This window comes from Homo sapiens, chromosome X (assembly GCF_000001405.40).
Source record: "Homo sapiens chromosome X, GRCh38.p14 Primary Assembly".
Lineage (NCBI taxonomy): Eukaryota > Metazoa > Chordata > Mammalia > Primates > Hominidae > Homo > Homo sapiens.
The window spans coordinates 119812959-119839078 of record NC_000023.11 but is presented as its reverse complement, the minus strand read 5'-3'; the positions used below and the strand labels follow the sequence as shown (position 1 = coordinate 119839078).

The window sequence follows — 26120 nt, the reverse complement described above, 5'->3', positions numbered from 1 at the left end:
GAAGCCGGGCACAGTGGCTCACACCTGTAATCTCAGCACTGTGGGAGGCCGAGGCAGAAGGATGGTGTGAGCCCAGAAGTTTGAGAACAGCCTGGGTGACATGATGAGACCTTGTCTCTACAAAAAAATTAAAAAATTAGCCATATGTGGTGGTGTGCATCTGTTGTCCTAGCTACTCAAGAGGCTGAGGCAGGAGGACCACTTAAGCCCAGGAGGTCAAGGTTGCGGTGAGCCATGTTCATGCCACTGCACTCCAGCATGGGCAACAGAGTAGTGAGACCCTGCCTCAGAATAAAAGCCAAAGGAGTCTTGATCCTATTGCCACAAAGTGATTAAACCACTTCGTTCAAGTGGATAACACTTTAACATTAATAGCATCCTTTTAGTAAATTACTACTCTTATGCACTAGTTGTTCACCTGAAAGATTAAGTGTACCTGCAGAGATAGGGGGCTTTGTCTAGTCTAAATTTTAAATATTTGGTATACTGGGTTTTTAATAGAAGATAGTGTCCCAGCCTTCAAAATAAAAATAAACATTTTATCTTTAAAGCTGCTCAAGAAGCCAGAAAAAGGAGATGAAAAAGAATTGGACAAAAGAGAAAAAGCCAAGAAATTGGACAAAGAGAATCTCAGTGATGAAAGAGCCAGTGGGCAAAGTTGTACATTGCCCAAGCGTTCTGATAGCGAACTTAAAGATGAAAAACCAAAGAGGTCAGTAGTCAAGGACTCTTTGTTATGTTTGATTTATACATGCTAGTTTTGCTGCTATGTCCTGGACATGTACCTGAATTAAGATAAGCTGTTTTATGCAGGGCAGGGGGATGAGGAGGAACAGTTTCAGAATATTCTTGTATCTTAATCTGGGTGAATGGTTTTGGGGTTTTGTTCCTTCTTAAAACACTAGTATTTTTCACTCTGCTCTAAAAGTGCAACCTCATTGCAGGGGCCAAATCAGAATCACAGTGTTCCTGCATTTGTGATTACAAGATCTTTCAGGGTTCTGTCTCAGATTTGTTTTTCATGCAGACCTGAAGATGAGAGCGGCAGAGACTATAGGGAGAGGGAACGGGAATATGAACGAGATCAGGAGCGCATACTTCGAGAAAGAGAGAGGCTGAAGCGGCAAGAAGAAGAGCGCCGTAGGCAGAAGGAGCGCTATGAGAAAGAGAAGACTTTTAAGAGAAAAGAAGAAGAAATGAAAAAAGAGAAAGACACACTTCGGGATAAAGGAAAGAAGGCTGAAAGTACAGAATCAATAGGCAGCTCAGAAAAAACTGAAAAGAAAGAAGAAGTGGTCAAGAGAGATCGAATAAGAAACAAGGTGCTGCTTGTCATTAAACTTGTTTATGAGGGTTTTTTTCCCTTTTCCTGCAAGTGTAAAGAAAGTGTAAAGGGCACTGTTATTATAGAATTTTTAAAGGGGAACTTTAATCATCTGCAACTTTTTTTTTTTTTTTTTTTTGAGACAGAGTCTGACTATGTTGCCCAGGCTGGAGTGCAGTGGCACAATCTCGGCTCACTGCAAGCTCCGCCTCCTGGGTTCACGCCATTCTTCTGCTTCAGCCTCCCAAGTAGCTGGGACTACAGGCGCCCACCACCACGCCTGACTTATTTTTTTGTATTTTTAGTAGAGACAGGGTTTCACCGTGTTAGCCAGGATGGTCTTGATCTCCTGACCTCGTGATCCACCTGCCTCAGCCTCCCAAAGTGCTGGGATTACAGGCGTGAGCCACCACGCCTGACCAACTTTTATTTCAGTCTTGGCTGGGCTTTTATTAACTTACTATAGAAATTGTAAACATACACAAAAGTAGAATAGAGAATAGTATGATGGGCCAGGTGCAGTGGCTCACACCTGTAATCCTAGCACTTTGGGAGGCTGAGGTGGGTGGATTGCTAGAGCCTAGGAGTTCTAGACCAGCCTGGCCAACATGGTGAAACCCCGTCTCTACTAAAAATACAAAAAATCGGCTGGATGTGGTGGCGCACACCTGTAATCTCAGCTACTCGGGAGGCTGAGGCAGAAGAATCACTTGAACCTGGGAGGTGGAGGTTGAGGTGAGCCGAGATCACGCCATTGTATTCTAGCCTGGGCAACAGAGCGAGACTCAGTCTCAAAAAAAAAACTGGCCGGGCGCGGTGGCTCACGCCTGTAATCCCAGCACTTTGGGAGGCCAAGACGGGTGGATCACGAGGTCAGGAGATCAAGACCATCCTGGCTAACATGGTGAAACCCCATCTCTACTAAAAATACAAAAAATTAGCCAGGCGTGGTGGCGGGCGCCTGTAGTCCCAGCTACTCGGGAGGCTGAGGCAGGAAAATGGCGTGAACCTGGGAGGCGGAGCTTGCAGTGAGCCGAGATCGCGTCACTGCACTCCAGCACGGGCAACAGAGCGAGACTCTGTCTCAAAAAAAAAAAAAAAATCGAATAGTATGATGAACTCCATGTACTGTACCCATCACCCAGCAGTTCATAGCCAACCTTCTTTCTATTCTACTTCATCCCTACCCCTACTAGATTATTTTCAAACAAACCCTGCACATAATTTCTTCCTTAAATACTTCAGTATATGAGATAAATACTCTATTAATATTACCCTAGTAGCATTTTCACACCAAAAAAAACTAACAATAATTCCTTAACGTCCTGTCTATTCAGTGTTCATATGTTCCCAATTGCTTCATTAATGTCTTTTTAAAATTAATTAATTATTTATTTTTTGCGATGGAGTCTCGCTCTGTCATCTAGGCTGGAGTGCAGTGGCATGATCTCAGCTCACCACAACCTCCACCTCCCGGGTTCAAGTGATTCTCCTGCCTCAGCCTCCCGAATAGCTGAGACTACAGCCTCAAGCCACCATGCCCGGCTAATTTTTGTATTTTTAGTAGAGACAGGGTTTCACCATGTTGGCCAGGCTGGTCTCGAACTCCTGACCTCAGGTGATCCTCCCGCCTCAGCCTCCCAAAGTGCTGGGATTACAGGCATGAGCCACCGTGCCCAGCCTAATGTCTTTTTTTTAATAGGACCTAAACAAATTCCACAAATTATGCTTCCTTGAAATGTCTTCTTCAGTTCTCTTTTGTTTTTAGTTTATTTTTTGAGACAGAGTCTTGCTATGTCACCCAGGCTGGAGTGCCGTGGTACAATCTCAGCTCACTGTAGCCTCGACCTCCTGGGCTTAAGCCATCCCCCTACCTCAGCCTCCAGAGTAGCTGGGACTACAGGCATGCATCACCATGCCCAGCTAATTTTTAAGTTTTTTTGTAGAGATGAGGTCTCCCTATGTTGCTCAGGCTGGTCTCAAACTTTTGAGCTCAGCCGATCCCCTCAAAGTATTGGGAATAAAGGTATGAGCCACTGCACCCAGCCAAGTTTTCTTTTAATCTAAACAATTTCCCCTTCTCTTGTTTTCCTACCATTTGTTGCAGAAACCAATTTGTCTTGTAGGGCTTTTCCTGTTCTGAATTGGCAGATTACATCCCCATGCTGTTATTTAACGTGTTCCTCTGTCTTCTGTGCTTCCTTTAAAACTGGCACTTAGGGCCTGGCATGATGGCTCATGCCTGTAATCCCAACAATTTGGGAGGCCAAGTCAGGAGGATCACTTAAGCCCAAGAGTTGGAAAGCAGCCTGGGCAACATAGGGAGAGCTTGTTTGTACTAACAATGTAAAAACAGCCCAGTGTGGTAGTGCGTGCCTATAATCCCAGTTACTAGGTACCTGAGGTGGGAGGATCGTTTGAGTCTGGAATGTCGAGGCTGCAATAAGCCTTGATCATCCCACTTGCTCTTCAGCCTGGGTGACAGGGTGAGGCCCTATCTCCAAAAAAAAATTTACCCAAGCATATAAAATAGTAATTACCAAATGGTTGCTTTTCTTTGGAGATGGAGAGAGGAAGTAGGCAAGTTGTCATTTACCGTGCCCTCACATTTTTGGTCTTAAATGACTTCACTTGAGCATATATTCATACATAACTATGACTCTTAAAAATCCCATATAAAAGCTTAGTAGCATTGTTGTAATGGTAACATATTTTATTGTACTTCAGGATCGTCCAGCGATGCAGCTTTACCAACCAGGAGCTCGAAGCCGAAATCGACTCTGTCCCCCTGATGACAGCACCAAGTCTGGAGATTCAGCAGCAGAAAGGAAGCAGGAAAGTGGTATTAGCCATAGAAAAGAAGGAGGAGAGGAGTGATAAGTCCAGATGGCCTTAGGTGTCCTGACTGTCTAGGCAGCCAAAGAGCACACGTTAAGCAATCCAGAGGTGCCTTCAGGGCAAAGAATAGAGAGAAAGGGAGCCGCTGTGCTGGTGGGGTACACTGCAGAGGAGTAAGTCTTGTGTCAAAGCAGGAATCTGATCAGAGGTTCAGAATTGGAAGTACAATTTCATTGCTTTTGCAATTTCTACAAATTAATTTTAAAGTGTCAGAAAAAGGTGACGGCAAGGACATGCATTGCAATTTGCAGGGGGAATTGTCAAGTGAGGACTTCATCACATATGACACGAGAGAAAAGTAAGAGCTGGTTCTAAAATCAAAAGCTGTTGTTCATCCTGAATTGAATTTTCTGAATTTGGGTGGAGCAGAGTCGCTTTGAAGCCTTGTTCCGATCTAATTCTATTGTATTGTTGATGATAAGTGTTGACATTGGGTAGTGTAGAAGCAACAAGCATGTCCTTGTAGTACAGGTACAGTGAAGGATAGAACACACTTTCGTTGATACAAAAATTTAAATAGTTATGTTACTTCTGTATCCAGTGTCCTAAAGTTTTAGGATTAGTTTTAGTTTTTTGTTTGCTTATATGAGCTTAGCGTAAAGAATATTTTTAAACTTCGTGTTTTGTCATCAGCATCTTTTCTATTAAGAGGTAAAATGTAGTCCTTGTTTGACTCTTGACAATCCAGTGTGTTTGATCTTAGGTCTCATGATCTGAGTGCATACCCTCTCCAGGAAGGAAACTGCACCAGTGTCTATTCCTGTTAAATAGCAACTTTTAGTCTCAGCTTGTTTCGTTTTGATGTCAATAAATAGTAACAGCATTCAAGTGTGAAGCTAAGTGTGTTTATTAACTTTACTAAATAGCTATGAGTTTTGAGAAATTAAATTTTTGACATCTGACATCACTCACCTTCTAGTGAAGCCTAAGGGAGCTTTAACTCATGGCAGAAGGTGAAGTAGAAGCAGGCATCTCACCCAAAACTGTAAACAAAAGTAAGAGCTGGTTCTAAATAAAACAAATAAAAGTCTATTAATTTAAACATAAAATAGGCTGGATGCAGTGGCTCACGCCTGTAATCACAGCATTTTGGGAGGCCAAGGTGGGCGGATCACTTGAGGTCAGGAGTTCAAGACCACCCTGGCCAACATGGTGAAACCCCATCTCTACTAAAAATACAAAATTATCTGGGCGTGGTGGTGGGCATCTGTAATCCCAGCTACTCGGGAGGCTGAGGCACGAGAATTGCTTGAGCCTGGGAGGTGGAGATTGCAGTGAGTCAAGATTGTGCCTCTGCACTCCAGCCAGGGCAACAGAGCAAGACCCCATCTCTAAAATAATTTTTAAAAATTAGCTGGGCATAGTGGTGTGCACCTGTAGCCCCAGCTACTCAGGAGGCTGAGACTGGAGGATCACTTCAGTCTGGGAAGTCAAGGCTACAGTGAGCCATGATCACACCACTGCACTCCAGCCTTGGTTACAAAGTGAGACCGTGCCTCAAAAAATTTAAAAAAATAATAATTTAAAAATAAATATAAACTGTTAGAAACAATAGGAAAGCAAGTGTTTGATCAATTTCTGCCTCCTTTTGTTCAGATACATGTTTGATTTCTTTGGAAATAAAGGTAGTATGGAGACAACTCAGACCTTGGCTGTCTAAACAATATTTGAGCACCTCCTAGTATGTGTTGGCACTGACACTATGGTAGTGAACACAACGTGGTTGCTTTCTCATGATGCTTACAGCCATGGGGAGTTAGCTGCTCTGGTGGAGAGAAGTGATGCTAGGGGAAGGAGGCAGGAAAAATTGAAAGGGTGAGGGCAGTGGGGGGTAGCTAGTTCCAGGGAAGTGAAAAAGGATGACTTGGGCATTCATGAAGCTTTAATGCCTTCAAAATCTGGAGGAACTGGAACTGGACCACCCTCCACAGCATGCATACGTTAGGTAGTCCGGAGACAGTAATGAAGCTTTGATTATAAAATTAAGATGTAACTTTCTATGGTATTCACAGATGTTATCTTTAATTCCATAGAGGAAAGGTTAAGGAGGTTTTGTAACCTTTTGTTGGTATAAAGAGTCCTGTATGTTACATGTTTTTGATGGCAGGGTGGGGTCAGGCTGCCTAGATTTTTCTTTACTGTCTCTGGGCTGTCCTTTATACTACAAAAATTTATTAAACCAATTATATCATTATTCAAGGTAGCCAAGATTACACTTGGTAAATTCTTGGAAAGTGTATGCTGACAGCTATATACATAGGATTAGTCATCCTTAGAAATCTCACAAAAGGCCAGGCATGGTGGCTCATGCCTGTAATCCCAGCACTTAGGAAAGCCACGGAAGCCACGGTGGGTGGATCACATGGGGTCAGGAGTTTAAGACCAGCCTGGCCAACATGGCAAAAACCCGTCTCTACTAAAAATACAAAAATTATCCGAGTGTGGTGGTGGGCACCTGTAATCCCAGCTACTCTGGAGGCTGAGGCAGGAGAATTGCTTGAACCTGGGAGGCAGAGATTGCAGTGAGCCAAGATCATGCCACTGCAATCCAGCCTGGGCAACAGAGTGAGACTCCGTCTCAAAAAAAGGAATGAAATGGGCCAGGTGTGATGGCTCATACAGGTAATCCTAGCATTTAGAAGGCCAAGGCAAGAGGATCACTTAACTTCAGGAATTTAAGACCAGCCTGGGCAACATAGGGAGACCCCATCTCTACTAAAAATTTAAAAACTTAGCCCAGTGTGGGAGAGTGTGCCTGCAATCCCAGCTGCTAGGGAGCTGAGATGGGAGGATCGCCTGTATCTGGAATGTCAAGGCTGCAGTGAGCCGCAATTGTGCTACTTGCACTTCAGCCTGGGTGACACAGATCCTGTAAAAGAAATTTACCCAGGCTTATAAAATAATAATTACAAAATGGTTGCTTTTCGTTGGAGATGGAGAGAGGAAGTAGAGAAGTTGTCATTTACTGTGCCCTCATATTTATGGTCTTAAATGACTGGGCTTTAGGATATATTAATATATAACTTATGATAAAGAAAATCCCATGTAAAAGCTTAGTAGCATTGTTGTAACAGTAACATATTTCATTGTACTTCAGGGTCGTCCAGGGATGCAGTCTTACCATCCAGGAGTTCAAAGCCACTATCAACACTATTTTCCTGATGACAGCACCAACTATAGATACTCACCAGTAGAAGAAAAGCAGGAAAGTAGTATTAGCTGTAGAAAAGAAGGAGGAGGCCAGGCGTGGTGGCGCACACCTGTAATCCCAGCACTTTGGGAGGCTGAGGCGGGCAGATCGCATGAGGTCAGGACTTCGAGACCAGCCTGGCCAACATGGTGAAACTCAGTCTCTACTAAAAATACAAAAATCTGTCGGGTGTCGGGGCAGGTGCCTGTAGTCCCAGCTACTTGGGAGGCTGCAGCAGAATTGCTTGAACCTAGGAGGCAGAGGTTGCAGTGAGCAGAGATTGTGCCATTGCACTCCAGCCTGAGCAACAAAGTGAGACTCAATCTCAAAAAAAAAAAACAAAAAAAGGAGGAGGAGAGGTGTGTGATAAGTCCTGATGGCCTTAGGTGTCCTGACTGTCTAGGCAGCCAAAGGGCACATGGTAAGCCATCCAAAAGTGCCTTCAGGGCAAAAGAATAGAAAGGGGGTCGCTCTGCTCGTGGGGTACACGGCAGAGGAGTAAGTTTTATGTCAAAGCAGGAATCTGATCAGAGGTTCCGAATTGGAAGTACAATTTCATCATTTTTGCAATTTCTACAAATTAATTTTAGTGTCAGAAAAAGCTGATGGTGAGGACATGCATTGCAGTTTGCAGGAGGGAAATGTCAAATGAGGACTTCATCACATATGACATGAGAGAAAAGTAAAAGCTGGTTCTAAAATCAAAAGCTGTTGTTCATCCTGAATTGAATTTTCTTAATTTGGGTGGAGTAGAGTGTCTTTGAAGTCTTGTTCCGATCTTGTTCTATTGCATTGTTGTTGGTAACTGTTGACTTTGTGTAGTGTAGAAGCAAAAAGCATGTCCTCATAGTACAAGTACAGGGAAGGATAGAACAAACTTTCATTGATGCAAATATTTATTTTTTATTTCTTTTTTTTTTTTTTTGAGACACAGTACTGAATTCATCTCTTGGAAGTATTGAAAGGAGAGGAATGATATTACTTTCTGCCTTCACTAGCTTACCTTGGTTTTTTCCACCAGGGAAAGATCAATTCATGGTTCACTACTATGTTAGGCCATTCTTGCATTGCTATAAAGAAATGCCTAAGAGTTGTTAGTTTATAAGAAAAGAGGTTTAATTGGGTCACAGTTCTGCAGGCTGTACAAGCATAGCATCTGACATCGCTCAGCTTCTAGGAGGCCTCAGGGAGCTTTTACTCATGGTGGAAGGTGAAGCAGGAGCAGGCATCCCACATCACAGAGTGAGCAAGAGAGTGAGTGCGGGGAGGAGGTGCCACACTTTACAGCAACCAGCTCTGTAAGAACTCACTATGGAGAGGACAGCACCAAGCCATGAAGGATCTGCCCCATAACCCCAACACCCCACCAGGCCCCACCTACAACACTGGGGATTATATTTCCATGAGATTTGGGTGGGGACAAATATCCAAACCACATCAACTATTCTGGTCCCTTAAGAACAAAATGTTTAGACAACATCCTTGAGCTTTTGCCTGATTTTCATTCATTCTGCCAGCCCTTCCTAACATGGCATCACTTTGCCTTTACTTTCTAAATAACTTTATGTTTCCTCAGCTTTTAGAAACAAGTAGCCCAAGAGGCATGTAGAAGAGCCACCAATAATGATTGAAAGTGAATGATTGTCAGCTGGGCGACAGGATTAAAGGAAGGGAAAATTTCAAGAAGGAGATTGGCTGACATTGTCCCATGCCACAGATTAAGGAAGACAAGAAATGGAAGTGTTCATTGGATTTGGCAGTCGTGATTTCATTAGTGAACTAATGAAACTGATGACCTAAAAGAGACAAACCATGTTACAGTGAGGGGTGAATGGCAGGTGGGAAATGGATGTATGGATTTGGAATTCATCCATTTTTAGGGGTCCATTGAAGTCATGACCATGGATTCTGTCACTTTAGGGAGAGAGAAAAGAACAGAAGCAGACCTAGGGCCCAGCCTTGAATAACCCTAACATTACATAGAGGTAAGGAAATGTATCTACAAAGACAGAGAAGGACTAGCCAGAGAATAGGAGAAAAACCAGAAGACTCTGGGTTACTTAATCCAAGAGAAAAGTTTCAAGGAAGAGGAGTGGCCAGCAGGGTTGGATGCTGCTGAATGGTCAAGTATGATGCCTGACAAAGGCCATGGCATTCAGTGACTTGCAAATCATTGATGACCTACAATTATGGGACAGGGAAGCCAGATTGGGTTGAGGAAGGAAACAATATATACAACTTTTTAGAGAAGTACAAGGGAACTTCAAAAGTCTGTGGACCCTTAGTTCTACTTTGAGGCCTCCTTCACATTATCCTTAACATATCAAAGTATAATTATAAGAAAGAATCACCAGGCAGGGTGGCTGACGCCTGTAATTCAGCACTTTGGGAGGCCAAGGCGGGCAGATCACGAGGTCAGGAGTTTGAGACCAGCCTGGCCAATATGGTGAAAGCCCATCTCTACTAAAAATACAAAAATTAGCCAGGCATGATGGCGCACGCCTGTAGTCCCAGCTACTCAGGAGGCTGAGGCAGAAGAATCGCTTGAACCGGGGAGGCGGACATTGCAGTAAGCCGAGATTGTGCCACTGCACTCCAGCCTGGGAGACAGAGTGAGACTCCATCTCAGAAAAAAAAGAAAGAATTGGCTAGGCATGGTGGCTCACGCCTGTAATCCCAGCACTTTTGGAGGCAGAGGTGGATGTATCACCTGAGGTCAGGAGTTCAAAACCAGCATGGCCAACATGGTGAAACCCCGTCTCTACTAAAAATACAAAAATTAGCTGGGTGTGGTGGTTGGCGCCTGTAATTCCAGCTACTCGGGAGGCTGAAGCAGGAGAATCGCTTGAACCCAGGAGGCAGAGGTTGCAGTGAGCCGAGATGGCACCACTGCACTCTAGCCCAGGTGACAAGAGCAAAACTCTGTCTCAAAAAAAGAAAGAATGAATCATGATGTGCAGTAAGTTCCTATAAGGAGATTTTTTTTTTTTTTTTTTAAGTAAAGACTCCCTCTGTCACCCAAGCTGGAGTGCAGTGGCACAGTCGCGGCTCACTGCAGCCTTGATATTCTGGGCTCAGTTGATTCTCCCACCACAGCTTCTTGAGTAGCTGAGGTTACAGGCATGTGACACCACACTCAGCTACTTTTTGTATTTTTTGTAGAGATACGGTTTTCCCATGTTGCCCAGGCTGGTCTCAAACTCCTGGGATCAAGCAATCTGCCCACCTTAGCCTCCCAAAGTGCTGAGATTACAGGCATGAGCCACTGTGCCCAGCCTCATATGGATTTTCAAAAGAACAGGGGCCAGGCGTGATGGCTCACGCCTGTAATCCCAGCACTTTGGGAGGCCAAGGCAGGTGGATCACCTGAGGTCAGGAGTTCAAGACCAGCCTGGCCAACGTGGTGAAACCTGGTCTCTACTAAACAATACAAAAAAAATTTAGCGAGGCATGGTGGCATGTGCCTTTCCTTCCAGCTCCAATTACATGGAAGGCTGAGTCAGGAGAACCGCTTGAACCTGTGAGGCAGAAGTTGCAGTGAACCAATATTGAGCCACTGCACTCTAGTCTGGGCAACAGAGCGAGACTCCGGCTCGAAAAAAGAAGAAAACCTGAAAAAAGAAAAAAAAAAAAGGTCGGGCACGGCGTCACACCTGTAACACCAGAACTTTGGGAGGCCGAGGCAGGCGGATCATCTGAGGTCAGGAGTTCCAGACCAACTTGGCCAACATGGTGAAACCTCATCTCTACAAATATAAAAAAATAAAATTAGCCGAGCATGATGGTGGGTGCCTGTAATCCCAGCTACTCGGGAGGCTGAGGTGGGAGAATTGCTTGAACCCGGAGGCAAAGGTTGCAGTGAGCTCAGATCGCACTGCTGCACTCCAGCCTGGGTGACACTGTGAGACTCCATCTCAAAAAAATAAAGAAGAGGAAAAAAAACCCAAGAGTGTGTGGAAAGTAGAAATAAAAGGCTGGGCGCGGTAGCTCGCGCCTACAATCCCAGCACTTTGGGAGGCCGAGGCATGCAGATCACGAGGTCAAAAGACCGAGACTATCCTGGCCAACATGGTGAAACCCTGTCTCTATTAAAAATACAAAAATTAGCTGGGCGTGGTGGTGCACCTGTAGTCCCAGCTACTCAGGAGGCTGAGGCAGGAGAATCGCTTGAACCCAGCCACTGCACTCCAGCCTAGGCAACAGAGAGTCCGTCTCGAAAATATATATATATGGGTGCGTGTTTGTGTGTATATATATATATTTCTCATAAGCTCCACCAAGGTCAAGACACTTTGTAAGCAGTGATACTAGCCATTTATTTATATATTTATTTATTTTTGTCTCTTGCTCGCAGCACCTAGATACTAGCCATTTCATCCATCCCCAAGGAATTGGAGATCGTGGTAATTTAACCACATCAATGAGATCTTTTTTACATTATTTACTGAAGAGAAATGGTTGCCCTTTACAGATTTTTTAAGATTAGGAAACAAAAAGAAGTCAGAGGGTACTAAATCCTGACTGTGAGGTAGATGCCTAATGGTTTTCCATGGAAACTCTCAAAATTGCTCTTGTTTGATGAGAGGCATAAGCAGGAGCATTGCCGTGGTAGAAAAGGACTCTCTGGTGAAACTTTCCTGCGCATTTTTCTGCTAAAGAGTTAGCTAACTTTCTCAAGACACTCTCATAATAAGCAGATGTTATTATTTTCTGGTCCTCCAGAAAGTCAACAAGTAAAATTCCTCAAGCAGCTCAAAAAGCTATTGCCATGACCTTTGCTCTTGGCCAGTCCATTTCGCTTTGACTGGATCACTTTCACCTCTTTGGAGTCATTGTTTTGATAGTGCTTTGTCTTCAGAGTCATACTGGGAAAGCCACGTATCACTTCCTGTTACACTTTCCCAGTAGATGCTTCATGATCTATTGGTTGGAGCAAAAGTCATTGCTGTTTTTGACATTCCTTTCAATGGCAAAAACAATAATTAATTTTGCAGCAACCTAATAGATCCCACTTGTTTACAATTTCCATTGAAATCTCTGTTCTTGTCTGCAGCTGATCTGGTTTTGGCAGCCATCAAGTGGAAAGTTTGCTCAACTTTTAATTTTTCAGTCAGAATTGTGTAAGCTGAACCAATAGAGATGTCGGTGTTGGCTGTTGTTTCTGCTGTTTATTTTTTTTCTTTTTGAGACGTGGACTCGCCCTGTCGCCCAGGCTGGAGTGCAGTGGGGCAATCTCGACTCACTGCAACCTCTGCCTCCTGGGTTCAAGCTATTCTCCTGCCTCAGCCTCCCCTAGTACCTGGGATTATAGGCACGCACCACCAGGCCCGGCTAGTTTTTGTATTTTCAGTAGAGACAGGGTTTCACCATGTTGGCGAGGCCGGTCTCAAACTCCTGACCTCAGTTTTTCCACCCACCTAGACCTCCCAAAGTGCTGGGAATACAGGCATGAGCCACCGCATCTGGCCGTGTTTCTGCTGTTAATCGTTGGTCCTTTTCTTTTTTTGAGACAGAGTCTCACTCTGTTACCCAGGCTGGAGTGCAGTGGCACGATCTCGGCTCACTGCAAGCTCCGCCTCCCGGGCACAAGCGATTCTCCTGCCTCAGCCTCCCGAGTAGCTGGGACTATAGGCGTGCGCCACCATGAATGGCTAATTTTTGTATTTTTTTAGTAGAGAATGGATTTCACCAGGTTGGCCAAGCTGGTCTCAAACTCTGGACCTCAAGTGATCCACTTGCCTTGACCTCCCAGAGTGCTGGTATTACAGGCATGAGCCACCACACCTGGCTGACTCTTCAGTTAGGGCACAAAGAGGATTAATTTCTTTCCTTGCAAATTGATGTGGATGTCCTGCTGCTGCAGCCTTCATCTTTAACGTCATCTTTTCCCTTGTTACAAGTTATCCATTTGTAAACTGCTGATTTTTTTAGGTGCATTGTCCCCATAAACTTTTGGTAAAGCATCAGTGATTTTACCATTCTTCCACCCAAGCTTCACCCTAAATTTGATGTTTGTTCTTGCTTCAATTTTAGCAGAATTCATTTTGTTCTGATAGGGGCTCTTTTCAAACTGATGACTTCTCCTTTTTTAATGCCTCAAACTAGATCCTGTTGAGATATTTTATAATGAATTAGTACCAGTTTATTTTGGTGCAAAAAGATTTTGAAATCCATGCATAGTTTTTCATAATACACAATTTCCATGGACTTTTTAAGACTTCTGATATGGCTGTTGATATAGTTTGGCTGTGTATACCCACCCAAATCTCATCTTGAATTGTAATCCTCATGTGTCTAGGGAGGAACTTGGATTATGGGGGCAGTCTCCCACATGCTGATCTTGTGATAGTAAGTCTCACAAGATCTGATGGTTTTATACAAGGCAGTTTTTCCTATGTTCGCACTTCACCTCTAGTCTGCTGCCATGTAAGACATGCCCGCTTTCCCTTCTGCCATGATTGTAAGTTTCCTGAGGCTCCCCCAGCCATGTGGAACTGTGAGTCAATTAAACCTCTTTTCTTTATAAATTACCCACACTCGGGTATTTCTTTCTACCAGTGTGAAAACGGACTAATACAGCTGTGAAAGAAATGGAGATACGGCTGGGCGCAGTGACTCACACCTGTAATCCTAGCACTTTGGGAAGCCAAGGCCGGTGGATCACCTGAGGTCAGGAGTTTGAGACCAGAACGGCCAACATGGTGAAACCCCGTCTCTACCAAAAATAGAAAAATTAGCCGGGCATGGTGGTGCACACCTGTAGTCCCAGCTACTCGAGAGGCTGAGGCAGGAGAATTGCTGGAACCCAGGAGGCGGCGGTTGCAGTGAGCAGAGATCATGCTATTGCACTTCAGCCTGGGCGACAGAGCAAGACTCCATCTCAAAAAAAAAAAAAAAAAAAAGAAAGAAATGGAGATACATAGGTTAATGGTGTTAATGAAGCATTATTTTAAATATAAGAAAGTATGTTTAGAAGCCAAAAGGAAAGCTCTAGAAGGATGAACACCCACGAGAAAGAGACAACAAATACTGTAGGCTTCTTGCAAAGGCAGGTGTAAATGGAAGCCAAGGTAGAGGTTAGAGGAGTTGGCCTTAAGAGAAGCAATTCTCCTGAACCACCAGGCATGAGTTGACATCCCTTGCCTCTTTGTCTAGCCTGTTGCCAGCCATCTCAAGGCCGTTTTCACGTCAGCACCTCCCTCTTCTGTTCTACTTGCCTTGCCTGTCCAGCTCTGGATAAACCACACGTCCCCACCCCACCCTCTTCAATTTCTTCCATTTGCTCATTCATTTAGCAAACATGTACCAATCACTGACTGTGTGCCCGGCCCTGGGGTCAAGGATTAAAATAAGTCCTTGTCTGTGTTGAACTCATGGTTCAATATTGGCAAGAGGCAAATAGCAATAATCAGATCATGATGCACAATGTCAGAAGGGTCGAGGTAGCACAGGGTGTTGTGGGAGCCTCTTGCCCCTAAGCTGCAAGTGTCGCTGGAGAAAATCCCTCAGCCAGATCAACCAGTGAAACCACAGGAGGGCCCTCCCTCCTGCGAAGCAATTTTTAAAATCCATCTTTAATTGATATCCTTTCCCCCAATACCATCTTTCTTCTTCTAGTTTGCTCCCTTCCTCTCCTTTCTTGTGTTGTAGGCAGTGGGGGTGAGGACCACTTCCTCATAAAGCATAATTTCACATCCTTAATAACTATAGGCCAGGCACCATAGCTCATGCTTGTAATCCTAGCACTTTGGGAAGCCAAGGCAAGAGGATCACTTTGAGGCCAGGAGTTCAAGACAAGCCTGGGGCCAGTGTTGGTGGCTCATGCCTATAATCCCAGCACTTTGGGAGGTCAATGCGAGCAGATCACTTGAGGTCAGGAGTGTGAGATCAGCCTGAAAAACATGGTAAAACCCTGTCCCAACTAAAAATACAAAAATTAGCCGGGCATGGTGGCGCATGCCTGTAGTCCCAGCTACTTGGGAGACTGAGGCAGGAGAATCGCTTGAACTGGGGAGGCAGAAGTTGCAGTGAGCCGAGATCACACCACTGTACTCCAGTCTGGGCAACAGAGCAAGACTCTGTCTCAGACAAAAAAAAAAAAAAAAAAAGAGGAAAAAAAGAAAAGAAATGGGCCAGGCGTGATGGCTCCTGCAGGTAACCCTAGCATTTGGGAGGCCAAGGTAGGAGGATCATTTAACTTCAGGAGTTCTAGAACAGCCTGGGCAACATAGGGCAACCCCGTCTCTGCTAAAATTTAAAAACCCAATGTGGTAGCACGGGCCTGCGATCCCAGCTACTAGGGAGCTGAGGTGGTAGGATTCCTTCAGTCTGGAATGTCGAAGCTGGATCATGCCACTTGCACTGCAGCCTGGCTGACACAGTGAGACCCTGTCTCCAAAGAAAATAAATTTAACCAGACATAAAAAATAATAATTAGGAAATGGTTGCTTTTCTTTGGAGATGGAGAGAGGAAGTGGGCAAGTTGTCATTTACCATGCCCTCATATATTTGGTCTTAAATGACTGGGCTTTAGTATATATTAATATATAAGGTATAACCTAAAAATCTCATGTAAAAGCTTAGTAGCATTGTTGTAACAGTAACATATTTCATTGTACTTCAGGACTGTCCATGGATGCAGTGTTACCATCGAGGAGCTCGAGGCCGAGGTCGACTCTGGCACCCTGATGACAAGTCTGGAGATTCAGCAGTAGAAAGAAAGCAGGAAAGTGGTATTAGCCATAGAAAAGAAGAGGAGAGGCCGGGCGTGGTGGCTCATGCCTGTAATCCCAGCATTTTGGGAGGCCGATATGGGTGGATCACCTGAGGTCAGGACTTTGAGACCAGCCTGGCCAACATGGTGAAACCCAGTCTCTACTAAAACTACAAAAATTAGCCGGGCTTGGTGGCAGGCGCCTGTAGTCCCAGGTACTCGAGAGGCTGAGGCAGGAGAATTGATTAAACTCAGGAGGTGGAGGTTGCAGTAAGCCATGATCGTGCCACTGCACTCTAGCCTGGGTGACACTAGGGAGGCTCTATCTCCAAAAAAATTAAAAAAAAATAAAGAGGAGAGGAGTACGCAGCAGAAGAGTAAGTTTTGTCTCAAAGAAGGAATCTGGTCGGAGGTTCAGAATTGGAAGTACAATTTTATTGTTTTTGCAATTTCTATAAATTAAAGTGTCAGAAAATGCTGATGGCGAGGACATGCATTGCAATTTGCAGGGGAAATGTCAAGTGAGGACTTCATCACGTGTGACACGAGAGAAAAGTAAGAGCTGGTTTTAAAATCAAAAGCTGTTGTTCATCCTGAATTGAATTTCTAAATTTTGGTGGAGCAGAGTCGCTTTGAAGCTTTATTCCCATCTATTTCTATTGCATTGCTAATGATAACTGTTGACTTTGGGTAGTGTAGAAGCAACAAGCATGTCCTTGTCTATAAGTACAGGGAAGGATAGAACAAACTTTCATTGATGCAAACATTTAAATAGTCATGTTACTTCTGTATCCAATGTCCTAACATTTTAGGGTTACTTTTGTTTTTTTATTTGCTTACATAAGCTTAGCATGAAGAATATTTTTAAACATCTCGTTTTGTCTCCAGCATTTTTTCTATTAAGAGGTAAAATGTAGTCCTTGTTGGATTCTTGACAATCTAGTTTGTTTTATCTCAGGTCTCATGATCTGGTGCCTACCCTCTCCAGGAAGGAAACTGCACCAATGTCTGTTGTTGTTACATATCAACTTTTAGTTTCAGTTTGTTTTGTTCTGATGTCAATACATAGTAACAGCAGTCAAGTATGAAGCTAAGTGTGGTGAGTAACTTTAGTAAACAGCTGTGAGGTTTTTTTTGTTTTTTTTGTTTTTTTTTTGAGACAGAGTTTCACTCTGTCACCCAGGCTGGAGTGCAGTGGCACAATCTCGGCTCACTGCAACCTCCACCCTCCGGGTTCAAATTATTCTCCTTCCTCAGCCTCCTGAGTAGCTGGGACTACAGGCACCTGCCACCGCGCCTGGTTAATTTTTTGTATTTTTAGTAGAGATGGGGGTCTCACCATCTTGGCCAGGCTGGTCTTGAACTCCTGACCTCGTGATCCACCGGCCTCAGCCTCCCAAAGTGCTGGGATTACAGGCGTGAGCCACCACGCCCAGCCAGCTGTGAGTTTTGAGAAATTAAATTTTTTATACTGTATTAGCCTCTTGGAAGTATCAAAAGCAGATGAATAATGTTAGTTTCTGCCTTCACAGGCATTGCCTTTGTTTTGTCCACCAGAGAAAGATCAGTTCATGGTTCACTCCTGTATTAGGCCGTTCTTGCATTGCTATAAATAAATGCCTGAGACTGGGTAGTTTATAAGAAAAGAGGTTTAACTGGTTCACAGTTCTGCAGGCTGTACAAGCATGGCATCTGACATTGCTCAGCTTCTGGGAGGCCTCAGGGACCTTTTACTCATGGCGGAAAGTGAAGCAGGAGCAGGCATGTCACATCACAGAGTGAGCAAGAGAGTGAGTGTGGGAAGGAGGTGCCACACTTTACAACAACCTGATCTGTAAGAACTCACTATGGAGAGGACAGCACCAAGCCATGAGGGATCCGCCCCATAACCCCAATACCCCACCAGGCCCCACCTACAACACTGGGGATTATATTTCCATGAGATTTGGGTGGGGACAAATTTCAAAACTACATCAACTGTTCTGGTCCCATAAGAACAAAATGTTTAGACAACATCCTTGAGCTTTTGCCTGATTTTCATTCATCCTGCCAGCCCTTCCTAACATGGCATCTGTTTGCCAGATGCCTGGGCTCAAACAATCTGTCCACTGTAGCCTCGAAAAGTGCTGGGATTATACGCATGAGCCACCGTGTCCAGCTTTATATGGATTTTTAAAAGAACAGAAGCCAGGGGCAGTGGCTCATGCCTGTAATCCCAGCACTTTGGGAGGCTGAGGCGGTTGGATCACCTGAGGTCAGGAGTTCGAGACCAGCCTGGCCAACATGGTGAAACTCCATCTCTACCAAAAAATACAAAAAAAAAAAAATTGGCCAGGCTTGGTGGAGCGCACCTGTAGTCCAAACTCCTCGGGAGGCTCAGGCAGGAGAATCACTTGAACTTGAGTGGCAGAGGTTCCAGTGAGCAGAGATCTCAATCCTGCACTCCTGCCTGAGCAACAGAGTTAGACTCCATCTGCCCCCCTCACCACCACACCCAAAAAAAGGCCGGGCTTGGTGGCACATGCCTGTAATCCCAGCACTTTGGGAGGCTGAGGTAGGTGGATCACCTGAGGTCAGGAGTTTGAGACCAGCCTGGCCAACATGGTAAAACCCCATCTCTACCAAAAAATACAAAAAAAAAATTTGGCCGGGCTTGGTGGAGCACACCTGTAGTCCAAACTTCTCAGGAGGCTCAGACAGGAGAATCACTTCAACTCGGGAGGCAGAGGTTGTAGTGAGCCTAGATCTCACCACTGCACTCCTGCCTGAGCGACAGAGGGAGACTCCATCCTCCCCACAACAAAAAGGCAGGGGATTGAGGTGGCACATGCCTGTAGTCCCAGCACTTTGGGAGGCCAAGGCGGGCACTTCACCTGAGGTTAGGGATTCAAGACAAACCTGGCCAACATGGTGAAACCCAGTCTCTACTAAAAATACAAAAATTAGCCAGGCACAGTGGCGGGCTCCTGTAATCCCAGTTAGTCGGGAGGCTGAGGCTAGAGAATCGTTTGAACCCAAGAGGCGGAGATTGCAGTGAGCCAAGGTCGTGCCACTGCACTCCTGCCTGGGCGACAGAGCCAGACTCCATCTCAAAAAAAAAAAAAAAAAAAAGGAAAAATAGAAAAGAAAAGTTTGTGGAAAATAGAAATAAAAGAAAAAAATATAAACTTCTCATCGTAAGATCCACCAAGGTCAAGACACTTTCATAAGCAATGATAACTAGCCATTTATGTATGTATGTATGTCTCTTGCTCACAACAATTACATACTAGTCATTTCATCCATCCCCTAAGAAGTGGAGGTCCTTGGAATTTAACCACATCAATGAAATCTTTTTTACATTATTAACTGAAGAGAAATGGTTGCCCTTTACAGACTTTTTAAAATTAGGAAACAAAAAAGTGACAGAAGAAGCTAAATCCCGACTGTAAGGTGGATGCCTAATGGTTTCCCATTGAAACTCTCAAAATTGCCCTTGTTTGATGAGAGGCACGAGCAGAAGCATTACCGTGGTAGAAAAGGACTCTCTGGTGAAGCTTTCCTGGGCATTTTGCTGCTAAAGCTTTGGCCTTCTCAAAACACTCTTATAATAAGCAGGTGTTGGCCGGGCACGGTGGCTCATGCCTGTAATCCCAGCACTCTGGGAGGCCGAGATGGGAGGATCACGAGGTCAGCAGTTCGAGACAAGCCTGACCAACATGGTGAAACCTCGTTTCTACTAAAAATACAAAAATTAGCCAGGCGTGGTGGTGCGTGCCTGTAATCCCAGCTACTCAGGAGGCTGAGGCAGGAGAACAGCTTGAACCTGGGAGGCAGAGGTTGCAGTGAGCCGAGATTGCACCACTGCAGTCCAGCCTGGGTGACAGAGTGAGATTTGGTCTCAAAAAAAAAAAAAAAAAAGCTGGTGTTACTATTCTTCGGCCCTCCAGAAAGTCAATAAGGAGAGTTGCTCAAGCAGCTCAAAAAACTATTGCCATGACCTTTGCTCTTGGCCAGTCCAGTTTTGCTTTGACTGGATCTCTTCCACCTCTTCAGAGTCATTGCTTTGATATTGCTTTGTCTTCAGAGTCATACTGGGAAAGCCACGTATCACCTCCCGTTACACTTTCCCAATAGATGCTTCATGATCTATTGGTTGGTGCCAACGTAATTGCGGCTTTTGACATTCCATGGCATAAACCACAATTAATATGCAGCAACGTAATAGATCTCACTTGTTTAAAATTTCCGTTGAAATCTCTGTTCTTGTCTGCAGCTGATCTGGTTTTGGCACCCATCAAGTGGAAAGTTTGCTCAACTTTTAATTTTTCAGTCAGAATTGTGTAAGCTGAACCAATTGTGATGTCTATGGTGATGGCTGTTGTTTCTGCCATTAATAGTTGGTCTTAGTCTCTCACGAAGGCTGGAGGCCAGTGGCACAATCTTGGCTCACTGCAACCTCTGCCTCCCGGGTTCAATGATTCTCCTGCCTCAGCCTCCCAAGTAGTTGGAATTACAGACACCTGCCACCGCACCCAGTTAATTTTTGTATTTTTATTAGAGACAGGGTTTCACCACGTGGGCCAGGTTGGTCAGATGACCCGCCCGCCTTGGCCTCCCAGAGTGCTGGAATTACAGGGGTGAGCCACCACACCCAGCCGATGCTTTTCAGTTAAAGCACGAAGAGGATTTTTGTTGTTGTTGTTTTTTAAGACGGAGTCTCATTCTGTTGCCCAGGTTGGAGTGCAGTGGCATGATCTCAGCTCACCACAACCTCCGCCTCCTGGGTTCAAGCGATTCTCCTGCCTCGGCCTCCTGAGTAGCTGGGACCACAGGCTCATGCCACCATACCCAACTAATTTTTGTATTTTTAGTAGAGACGGGGTTTCACTATGTTGGCCAGGCTGGTCTTGAACCCCTGACCTTGTGATCCACCCGCCTCGGCCTCCCAAAGTGCTGGGATTACAGGTGTGAGCCACTGCGCCTGGCCTAATTTTTTCCCTTGCATATTGATGTGGATGACCTGCTGCTGCAGGCTTCATCTTCAACATCATTTTGTCCTTTCTTACAAGTTATCCATTTGTAAACTGCTGATCTCTTTAGGGGCATTGTCCCCATAAACTTTTGGTAAAGCATCAGTGATTTTACCGTTCTTCCACCCAAGCTTCATCTTAAATTTTATGTTTGTTCTTCCTTCAATTTTAGCAGAATCCATTTTTCGCTGATAGGAGCTCTTTTCACACTGATGCTTTCTCCTTTTTAATGCCTCAAACTAGATCCTGTCGAGATATTTTTTAACGAGTTAGTACCAGTTTATTTTGATGCCAAAAGATTTTGCAATCCATGCATAGTTTCTTGATAATACACATTTTCCATGGACTTTTTGAAGACTTCTCATATGACTGTTGATATGATTGAGCTCTGTTCCCGCACCCAAATCTCATCTTAAACTGTAATCCTCATGTGTCAAGGGAGGAGCTTGGTAGGAGGTGATTGGATTATTGGGGCAGTCTCACACATGCTGATCTTGTGATAGTGAGTAAGCCTCACAAGATCTGATGGTTTTAAACAAGGCAGTTTTTCCTATGCTCGCACTTCACCTCTAGTCTGCTGCCATGTAGCATGTGTCCACTTCCCCTTCTGCCATGATTGTAAGTTTCCTGAGGCTCCCCCAGCCATGTGGAACTGTGAGTCAATTAAACCTCTTCGGCTGGGCTTGGTGGCTCACCCCTGTAATCCCAGCTTTGGGATACCAAGGCCGGTGGATCACCTGAGGTCAGGAGTTCCAGACCAGCCAGGCAAACATGGCGAAACCCATCTCTACTAAAAATACAAAAATTAGCTGGGTGTGCTTATGCCCGCCTGTAATTCTAGCTACTCAGGAGGCTGAGGCAGGAGAAGCGCCTAAACCTGAAGGGCAGAAGTGTGGTCAGCCGAGATCGCACCATTGCACTCCAGCCTGGGCGACAAGAGCGAGACTACGTCACATATTTTATTTATTTTATAAATAAATAAAAATAAAATAAAATAATTAAACCTCTTCTCTTTATATATTACCCAGCCTTGGGTATTTTTTCTACTAGTGTGAAAACCAATTAATATAGCTGTGAAAGAAATGGAGATACATAGGTTAATGGTGTTAATGAAGCTTTATTTTAAATATGAGAAAGTAAGTAAGTTTAGAAGCCAAAAGGTAAGCTCTACAAGGATGAATACTCAAGAGAAAGAGACAACGAATACTGTAGGCTTCCTGCAAAGGCAGGTGAAAATGGAAGCCAAGGTAGAGGTTAGAGGAGTTGGCCTTAGGAGAAGCAACACTCCTGAACCCCCAGGCATGAGTTGACATCCTTGCCTCTTTGTCTAGCCTGTTTTCATGTCAGCACCTCCCTCTTCTGTTCTACTTGCCTGGCCTGTCCAGCTCTGGATAAATCACCCATCCCCACCCCACCCTCTTCAATTTCTTCCATTTGCTCATTCATTTAGCAAACATGTACCAATCACTGACTGTGTGCCAGGCCCTGGGGTCAGGGATTCAAATAAGTCCTTGTGCACGTGGAACTCATGTTTCAGTGTTGGCAAGAGGCAAATAGCAATAATCAGATCATGATGCACAATGTCAGAAGGGTCGCGGTAGCACAGGGTGTTGTGGGAGCCTCTTGCCCCTAAGCTGCAAGTGTCGCTGGAGAAAATCCCTCAAGCAGATCAATTGGTGAAACCACAGGAGAGCCTTCACTCCTGCTAAGCAATTTTTACCATCAGTCTTGAATTGATATCCTTTCCCCAGTGCCACCTTTCTTCTACTTTGCTCCCTTGCTCTCCTTTCTTGTGTTGCAGGCAAGGGGGGTGAGGACCACTTCCTCATAAAGCATAATTTCATGTCCTTAATAACTATAGGCCAGGCATGGTGGCTCATGCCTGTAATCCCAGCACTTTGGGAGGCCGAGGCAGGTGGATCACTTGAGGTCAGCAGTTGGAGATGAACCTGGCCTACGTGGTGAAACCCCGTCTCTACTAAAAATACAAAAATTAGCCGGGCTTGGTGGTGTGCACCTGTAGTCCCAGCTACTCAGCAGACTAAGGCAGGAGAATCGCTTGAACCCGGGAGGCAGAGGTTACAGTGAGCCGAGATTGCACTACTGCACTCCAACCTGGACAACCAGAGCGAAACTTCGTCTATGCAGGCAATCCTAGCATTTGGGAGGCCAAGGTGGCAGAATCATTTAACTTCAGGAGTTCAAAGCCAGCCCGGATAACATAGGGAGACCCCATCTCTATTAAAAATTTTAAAACTTAGCCCAGTGTGGTAGAGCGTGCCTGCAATTCCAGCTACTAGGAAGCTGAGGTGGGAGGATGGCTGGAGTCTGGAATGTCAAGGCTGTTGTGAGCTGCAATCTTGCCATTTGCACTTCAGCCTGAGTGACAAAATGAGACCATGTCTCTAAGAAAAATAAGTTGTACCAGGCTTATAAAATAATAATTAGGAAATGGTTGCTTTTCTTTGGAAATGGAGAGAGGAAGTGGGCAAGTTGTCATTTACCATGCCTTCACATTTTTGGTCTTAAATGACTGGACTTTAGTATATATTAATATATAAGTTATGACTTGAAAATCCCACGTAAAAGCTTAGCAGCATTGTTGTAACAGTAACATATTTCATTGTACTTCAGAATCATCCAGGGATGCAGCGTTACCATCCAGGAGCTCGAAGCCAAGGTCGACTCTCGCACCCTGATGACATAACCAAGTCTGGAGATTCAGCAGTAGAAAGAAAGCAGGAAAGTTGTATTAGCCATACAAAAGAAGAGGAGAGGCTGGGTGTGATGGTTCACGCCTGTAATCCCAGCACCTTGGGAGGCCGAGGCGGGTGGATTACCTGAGGTCAGGAGTTTGAGACCAGCCTGGTCAACATGGTGAAACCCCATCTCTACTGAAAATACAAGAACTAGCCAGGCGTGGTGCCAGGTGCCTGTAGTCCCAGGTACTCGGGAGGCTGAGGCAGGAGAATCGCTTGAACTCAGGAGGCGGAGGTTGCAGTAAGCCGTGATCTTGCCACTGCACTCCAGCCTGGGCAACAGAGTAAGACTCCATCTCAAAAAAAAAAAAAAAAAAAAAAAAGAAAGAAAGAAAAGAGTAGAGGAGTGTGCAGCAGAGGAGTAAGTTTTGCCTCAAAGCAGGAATCTGATCAGAGGTTCAGAATTGGAAGTACAATTTCATTGCTTTTGCAATTTCTATAAATTAAAGTGTCAGAAAAAGATGATGGCAAGGACATGCATTGCAATTTGCAGGGGGAAATGTCAAGTGAGGACTTCATCACATATGACATGAGAGAAAAGTAAGAGCTGGTTCTAAAATCAAAAGCTTTTGTTCATCCCAAATTGAGTTTCTAAATTTTGGTGGAGCAGAGTCGCTTTGAAGTCTTGTTCTGATCTATTTCTACTGAATTGTTGATGATAACTGTTGACTTTGGGTAGTATAGAAGCAACAAGCATGTCCTTGTAGTACAAGTACAGGGAAGAATAGAACAAACTTTCATTGATGCAAACATTTAAATAGTCATGTTACTTCCGTATCCAATATCCTCAAGTTTTAGGATTAGTTTTAGTTTTTTATTTGCTTATCTAAGCTTGGCATGAAGAATATTTTTAAACATCTTGTTTTGTCTCCAGCATTTTTTTTATTAAGAGGTAAAATGTAGTCCTTGTTGGATTCTTGACAATCTAGTTTGTTTGATCTTAGGTCTCATGATCTGAGTGCCTACCCTCTCCAGGAAGGAAACTGCACCGATGTCTATTCCTGTTAAATAGCAACTTTTAGTCTCAGCTTGTTTTGTTTTGATGTCAATAAATAGTAACAGCATTCAAGTATGAAGTTAAGTGTAGTGAGTAACTTTAGCAAACAGCTGTGAATTTTGAGAAATTAATTTTTTGATACTGAATTAACCTCTTTGGAGTTTGGAAAGCAGATGAATGATATTAGTTTCTGCCTTCGCTAGCATGCCTTTGTTTTGTCCACCAGAGAACGATCAGTTCATGGTTCACTCCTGTATTAGACCATTCTTGCACTGCTAAAAAGAAACACCTGAGACTGGGTAATTGATAAGAAAAGAAGTTTGGCCAGGCACGGTGGCTCATGCCTGTAATCCCAGCACTTTGTGAGGCTGAGGTGGGATGACCACTTGATGTCAGGAGTTTGAGACCAGCCTGGCCAACATGGTGAAACCCTGTCTCTACTAAAAATACAAAAAAATTAACCGGGCATGGTGGCACGCTCCTGTAATCCAAGCTACTCGGGAGGCCGAGGCAGGAGAATCGCTTGAACCCAGGAGGCAGAAGTTGCAGTGAGCCAAGATAGCACCACTGCACTCCAGCCTGGGTGACAGAGCGAGACTCCATCTCAAAAAAAAAAAAAAAGAAAAGAAAAAAATAAAAGAGGTTTAATTGGCTTATAGTTCTGCAGGCTGTACAAGTCGGGAATCTCACATTGCTCAGCTTCTGGGAGGCCTCAGGGAGCTTTTACTCATAGCGGAAGGTAAAGCAGGAGCAGCCATCTCACATCACAGAGTGAGCAAGAGAGTGAGTGCGGGGAGGAGGTGCCACACTTTACAACAACCAGCTCTGTAAGAACTCACTATGGAGAGGACAGCACCAAGCCATGAGGGATCCGCCCCATAACCCCAACACCCCACCAGGACCCACCTACAACACTGGGGATTATATTTCCATGAGATTTGGGTGGGGACAAATATCCAAACTACATCCACTATTCTTGTCCCATAAGAACAAAATGTTAGACAACATCCTTGAGCTTTTGCCTGATTTTCATTCATTCTGCCAGCCCTTCCTGACGTGGCATCAGTTCGCCTTTACTTTCTTAATCACCACTTTATGTTTTCCCAGCTTTTAGAAACAAATAGCCAAAGAGGCAGGTACAAGAGCCACCAATAATGACTGAAAGTAAATGATTGTCAACTGGGCAAGAGTACTAAAGGAAGGGAAAATTTCTAGAAGGAGATTGGC

The 26120-nt window shown here is 44.5% G+C and overlaps 1 protein-coding gene and 1 pseudogene across 7 annotated transcripts in view, besides 1 other annotated feature; both read left to right on the top strand.

Annotated features, from left to right (window-relative positions):
• The window catches only part of UPF3B (UPF3B regulator of nonsense mediated mRNA decay), a 47653-nt gene that overhangs the window by 13885 nt on the left and 7648 nt on the right, over window positions 1–26120 (top strand). For 2 of the 7 annotated variants that reach the window (XM_017029738.2, XM_047442375.1), the window contains exons 9-14: window positions 552–712; window positions 1028–1322; window positions 4052–4159; window positions 7320–7529; window positions 16036–16137; window positions 23772–23879. In XM_017029738.2, the coding sequence (XP_016885227.1) occupies window positions 552–712; window positions 1028–1322; window positions 4052–4159; window positions 7320–7529; window positions 16036–16137; window positions 23772–23879 (984 nt within the window). Of the gene's footprint in view, window positions 1–551; window positions 713–1027; window positions 1323–4051; window positions 5058–7319; window positions 7530–16035; window positions 16138–23771; window positions 23983–26120 lie in introns of those variants that run through there. The other 5 variants (XM_017029739.2, XM_017029737.2, NM_023010.4 and 2 more) reach the window with 3 other exon arrangements.
• Window positions 12266–12365: an enhancer, noted in NCBI's record as "active region_29900". NCBI's record gives its function as "activates an Ori minimal core promoter by ATAC-STARR-seq in GM12878 lymphoblastoid cells {active_cell/tissue: GM12878}" and the evidence as "EXISTENCE:reporter gene assay evidence [ECO:0000049][PMID:35858748]".
• LOC100422368 (UPF3B, regulator of nonsense mediated mRNA decay pseudogene) lies at window positions 16034–17214 on the top strand (annotated as a pseudogene).